The following is a 6,405-nucleotide window of genomic DNA, read 5'->3' on the forward strand; positions in this document are numbered from 1 at the left end:
CTGGGATTACAGGCATGAGCCACCATGCCCGGCCTACGGTGGGTTAATTATATAAAACGAGGCAACAAACAACCTGGGATCTACCCTTCCGACACCCTCCAACCTTCCCCACTAACCCTTCTAAATCTTAGCAGGCTCCAGGTATGGAAAGTGCCCACTCAAGGCCTGTTTGCACAGAGCATTGAGCGTGTCTCCAGTGCCCCCAACACCGTTCCTGGACCTCATGATGATTCTCAAGGGATGGTCAATGCAAGAAAAAGGAGCATTCTTTCTGTCAAATCCTGTTCTTCCTCTTCTACTCCTACCCATTTCTTCACAACGTCTCTGATTATTCTCCCAGGGTGGAGCTTCGTCCCCATCCTCTGTAATCTCCCCTACTTCTGGATTTATCTAATTAGAATTTAAATTAGGAAAGGATTGTAGGAAAAGTGGTGATTTCGGTGTGCCTTTTCTCTTTGTGTGTTTCACGGTACAGTAGTCCCCCCTTATCCACAGTTTCACTTTCCCAAGTTTCAGTTACCTTTGGTCAATCATTGAAAATATGAAATGAAAAATTCCAGAAAAAAACAATTCATAAGTTTTAAATTACATGCCATTCCAAGAGTGTGATGAAATCTCCCACTTTCCCTCTCTGTCCTGCCTGGGATTGAATCATTTCTTTGTCTAGCACATCCATGCTCTGCATGTCCCCTCCTACGAATCACTTAGGAGCTGGCTGTTATCTGATCAAGTGTCAAGGTATCGTATAGCTTGTGTTCAAGTCACCCTTATTTTACTTAATAATGGCCCCAAAGCGCAAGAGGTATGATGCTGGCAATTCGGATATGCCAAAGAGAAGCTGTGAAGTGCCTACTTTAAGTGAAAAGGTGAAAGTTCTTGACTTATAAGGAAATTTAAAAAATCATATGCTCAGGTTGCTTAGATATTAAATAAGGATGAATATTCTATCTGAAATTGTGAAAAAGGAAAACGAAATTTGTGCGTAATATATATATATAGGTTTCAATACTATCCATGGTTTCAGTCATCCAGACTAAAACTTAGGCACTTCAGACCCCCAGGATATGGGGGTCTTGGAACATATACGCCATGGATAAGGGGGATTACTGTAGAGGAGAATCTGACACCTACTTCCTTTTTTTTTTTTTAACCTACTTTTTTTTGTTTTTGTTTTTGAGACGGAGTCTTGCTCTGTCGCCCAGGCTGGAGTGCAGTGGCACAATCTCGGCTCACTGCAAACTCCACCTCCCGGATTCAAGTGATTCTCCTGCTTCAGCCTCCCGAGTAGCTGGGACTACAGGTGCACGCCACCATGCCTGGCTAATTTTTTGTGTTTTTCATAGAGATGGTGTTTCACCGTGATAGCCAGGATGGTCTCGATCTCCTGACCTCGTGATCCGCCCACCTCAGCCTCCCAAAGTGCTGGGATTATAGGCATGAGCCACTGCACCCAGCCACCTACTTCCTTTGATAGTGTTACCGGGGGTCCTTGCTCACAGAGCTCCCAAGATGGTGGCGAGCATCTTCCAAGATGGTGGCGGGCCACTTCCAAGATGGTGGCAAGCCTTGTGTTCTCTGACTTGGGGTTCTTGGCCTCATGGATTCCAAGGAATGGAATCTTGGGCCATGCAGTGAGTGTTATAGCTCTATTAGAAGCCGTGGGTCACGGAAGAGAACCGTGGAAGCCAGTGACTAGTGTTCAGCTCGATTAGGATGGACCCGGGCACTTAGCCGTGCAGGGACAATAGCAAGCCTTTAGCCCTATCAGGAGCGGCAATGGGCACCTCGCTGAATCAGGAGCACAGCGGACACCCTGCCGGATCCGGAGGGTTGGGAGTCAGCGGCAGGTCTGTGATGGTGGCAAACAGCAGTGGTGGACAGCGAGTGAACTCGAGCTGTAACAAACATGGACCAGAAGAGTGCAGTTGCAAGATTTAATAGCGTGAAATAGAGTGAAAACAGAGCTCCCATAAAAGAGGAGGGGACCCAAAGGGGGTTGCCGTTGCCAGCTCAAATGCCTGGGTTTATATCCCGATCCTTGTCCCTTCCACTGTGCTCTCGGGCAGCAGATGATTGGCTATTTCTTTACCTCCTGTTTTTGCCTAATTATCATTTTAGTGAGCTCTCCTTACTATCTGATTGGTTGCGTGTGAGCTAAGTTGCAAGCCCCGTGTTTAAAGGTGTAAGTGGTCACCCTCCCAGCTAGGCTTAGGGATTCTTAGTTGGCCTAGGAAATCCAGCTAGTCCTGTCTCTCAATAGGGCTATAACACTGGTCTTATTTGCACAGTCTCATTAAGCTGGTAGAATGGGGGGTCACAAACCCAGCAGGTCTGATTTGAAGGATTTCTCAGCAAAGCATTCACCATGCCTCAGTTTCTCCTTTATAAGATGGTAATGCCACTTCTCACCACTCATCACTTTCCATACATACTGGAAGCACTATAAAGAAGAGGCTTATAATATCACTCTTACCAACTAAGAAGCTTAAAATCTCTTTCAAGATGCTTTTCATCTGCTTTCCTTTTCTCAACATATTCTTGGAAGAGATAAACTTCTCTCTCACTTAACTTCTGTGTTTTCTAGAACTAATGAACTAATTTCCATTCATTCCAAAGACATCTTTGTATATACAAGATATGGGTCATTGGAAGGGAGGAAGAAACTATAACTTAGAGAAAGCTGTTCCCTATTACTTCCTAAATATGAAGATTTATTAGTTAAGTAATGCTAGCTGTTGTAACAGACGAATTCCCAAATATCAGTGGTTTAACACAACGGAAGTTTATTTTTTGCTCACACCTGGTGTTTCATGAGAGGCTTTCCATGATCAGTCTTGCATACACAAAAGAACCTTCTTTAGTGTCTCTACCTGTTAGATCTTCTAATAGGCCAGCACATTGGATAAGAGAGAATGAAGGCTGGAGCAGAAGGTTTATGCAGGTGAGGCTGGAAGTAAGGCACAGCACCTCTTCCTTGCTGAACACACTTTCTGCTGTCCCACTACATGGGGACTTGCTGCGATAGGAGGTATTAAAAATTGTTCTAGGCAGATAGGAAAAGCGGTCCTTGGAAAGTTTTCATCTCTTTTAAAGCAGCTCCAGAAACATTTCTTGTCTAGCAGGAAAGCCCTGGCTCTTAGAGCTGGGCAGGCAATCTTTCATATGCAAATGTTGGCCATTAGAAACTGGGTCCACCCCAACAAGAGGATTCCTGCTGCCTGCCTCCTTCTTCCCCTTGCCCCACATGTTCCTGGCAACATGGCTGCCCCCACATATCCCCACGTGTGTAGAACATTATGGCGCCCTGTATTTGCATATTAAAAGGCTAGGGTGGGAGAGTCAGTTTTTTCAAGGGCTACGTGAATGACATGCCTGGTCAAACCAATCCTCTGAGCCCTATGCAAATCAGATACTGCTTCCTCCAGCCTCTCCATATACCTGGCTGGTTTCTGCGTACTTGGGGTCCCCTCTCTCGCTTTGGAGCCGCCCCCTACCCCCCCCATCTCTGTACAGGGGAGCTGCTGCTTTCTTTCTTTTCCCTTCTTTCTTACCTATTAAACTCTCCAGTCCTTAAAACGACTCCACGTGTGTCCGTGTTATTTTATCTAATTCGACTTGAGACGAAGAACCCTGGTGTTCTTCCACTCATGGAGTTGCATCATTGCTATGGCAAAGTCTGGCTTTCATGCACAGGCTTCCTCTTTTGCCAGCACAAGGGCTGGGAGGGCTTGTAAAACCCCAACAACCTCAATGTTTGTTGCTCATTTAGACCAGAACTTCAAGTCTTAGCTGGGTGGAGTTAGTAAGATCCACAATTACTGATGAAGCTCCTTATCTCCACAAGAGAATCCTGGCTAAAGAGGATGCAGGGTCTCCGGCCAAGCACAGAGACCCCATCCTAGATTTCATTTCTCTGTTGATAAAGTGATCATTAGGATCTGTGAGTTTGGAGAGACACCTTCTTCAGTGAGCCACAATAATTCCTCCTGAAAACTGATCAGTGACATCTTTGCCAGCCAGAAGTACCTTCTGTAAAACTGAGGGAAAGGAGCCCCAAGTAACCCTCAGCTCTTTGAGTCCTCAAAGACCATCCCCCTACAGGACCTTGGCCCCAGATATTTCATATCAGATCAGCTTTTCCTCCCCGCAGGATTCTCTCTAATCATCTCTCACCACCCAAGGCAGTGTCAGCTCAGGCAAAGCAAACTAATTTTAATCTAAGGACAAGTAAAAATATAATTAAGAAGGTAAATCTATTTCCCAAATAGCATACAGTTCTCTGTTGACTATGCATTTTTTAAAGTATCTGTAAAGACAAAAGACATTCATTCATCAATACAGATACAGCTGCTCATTTGTTTGTGGAGTTTGCAATTAAATACAATTGCTTGTTTTTAAGAACCCAGCTTCTGCTGCCCAGTGAGATCTATTTTGGAGGGCAAGAGAGGAAAGAAGAATTCTAACTCAAACAGAGGGAGTTTGCAGAGGGAAACAAAACCCTGCGCAGGCACAGAATTCCTTTTAAATAGGAATGTTCATGAGAAAGACCTAGGATCTAAATTTTCCCCCAGGGTGGGGCTGCTTTTCGCTTGATGTTATCTCAGCACCTTCACTTCACTGATGAGGCCAACAGATCAAGATGAATAAGCTTTCTCAGTTGCCGTGTTATTTAAACCCACAAGCAGGCCCCTGCCCCTTCCTGGAAGGCTGCGGTGTAACACCTTAGCTGTCGCCTGGCGCGCTGCTGTATAAACACACCAGGCTCCAGATCCTTTATTTCAGCAGGTGATTCACAATGAAGGAGCGGGAGGCTGGGTCCCCAGAGCACGGAGTCCTTGCCTGTCCACCCCCCTTTTCTGGAGGGCGGGAAGCTCTTTAGTATGCCCTACTTAGCTCCAAATACAAAGAAGGCCACTCTGTTTCCAAGAAGCCATTCAGTCATAATAGATATGGTTAGAATGATAGCCCAGAGGCTGTGGGTTAGGAAAACACATTTATTAGAGAAGGATCCCGTTCACAATAATTAAGTGACACAAATGAATGCAAGTTAATGAAATCTCAGTGGGATTGAATGTGCTCAATCACGGCCCCCACCCCCTGCCCTGGGCAGCAGTAGTAGAGCATGAAGACTCAGGAAGCACAATGGGACCCCATTCTTTGGTCCTGAAATTCTCCCCATCTCCTCCCAATGCTGATCTGAGAGGTAGACCTCTCAAACTCTCCTGGAAGGTGAATCCTGAAGGAGAGGGGTGCAAGGACCTGGATTGCTGCATTCTGTCCCCTTCTGGCGTGATTCTTGGATGGTCTTTCTACACTTCAGCCTCAGGGTTTGCCAGATCCAGAATCCTCCCCAGGATATTTTGAAGAACACGAAGTGATTTTTAAAAAAGGCATTGAAACGAAAATAAAAAGCACTGAGGATGACTGCAATAATACACAATTTTATCATCCATCCATCCTTCCATCCATCCATTCAACAAAAACTTATTGGATATCTCCCTATATCAGGCACTGGGGTTATAGCAGTCAATGATAATAATAATGATGGTGATGATAACAGCAATAAGAATAATAGAACTAACAGTTGCTCCTGATGTTTTCCAGGCACTGTTCTAAGTGCTTCACCTACATGCCACTCATTCATCCTCACAACAACCCAATACTACCCAGGACAAGTAAACAAGGCACAGACCCTTTTGGGAAAGAGCATGTAGCCCACAGGTGAGGCAAGACCTCTGCAGGGAGAAAGCCAGGAGCTGAGCGCATGTGGGAGCCCTAGCCCTCTGGAAGGCTTTGAAGGCCTCTGGAGGGAGTGGCACCAGCTGAGCTGAGGCAGGAGGAGGAATGGCCTGGAGCCCAGGAGAGTGCTTAGAGGGGACTGCAGAGACCATAGTCCCTCTGGCTGGAGTTTAGGGTAGTGGTAAGAGATGCTGCGGGGTGGAGAAGAGGCTGGGAAAGACTTCCTAAAGGAGGCGACAAGTGACCTAAATGATGTGTAGAGTTGGCCAGGCAAAGGGTTTGGGGCTGGGGAGGCTGAGAGCCCTGGGGGGTCGAAAGGGAGCTGGACCACAGGGTGCTCAGCCAATGGGTCCCATCAGGTGGTGGGGTCAAGAGAAGTGGCTGGGGGGTGGGAACACGCCCACCACACAGCTTTGAAGCTGCACGCAGGAAGCTGGATGTGATTCTGGAGAGCACTCTGGCTGCAGCGTGGATCATAAATCCCAGAGGGCTAAAGGGGCAGCGATGGTGGGGATGCGACTCCTAGGAGTCTGGGTGACTGTTGAGGGCCAGGGTGGTGGGAAGGAGGCAAAAGGGAGATGATGTGTGGGATAACCAGAAAGCAGGGCGGGGAGAGAATGGGGTCCAGGGCGACTTCTAGGAACCCAACAGATCTGCAGAGCGGTG

The 6,405-nt window shown here is 46.8% G+C and overlaps 1 annotated feature.

The window, feature by feature from the left end:
• Positions 5,600 to 6,137: an enhancer, noted in NCBI's record as "H3K27ac-H3K4me1 hESC enhancer chr14:66395716-66396253 (GRCh37/hg19 assembly coordinates)". NCBI's record gives its function as "activates a minimal SCP1, AML or CMV promoter by ChIP-STARR-seq in primed H9 embryonic stem cells {active_cell/tissue: H9 hESC(primed)}" and the evidence as "EXISTENCE:reporter gene assay evidence [ECO:0000049][PMID:30033119]".

Source organism: Homo sapiens, chromosome 14, assembly GCF_000001405.40.
Source record: "Homo sapiens chromosome 14, GRCh38.p14 Primary Assembly".
In the NCBI taxonomy this organism is placed as follows: domain Eukaryota; kingdom Metazoa; phylum Chordata; class Mammalia; order Primates; family Hominidae; genus Homo; species Homo sapiens.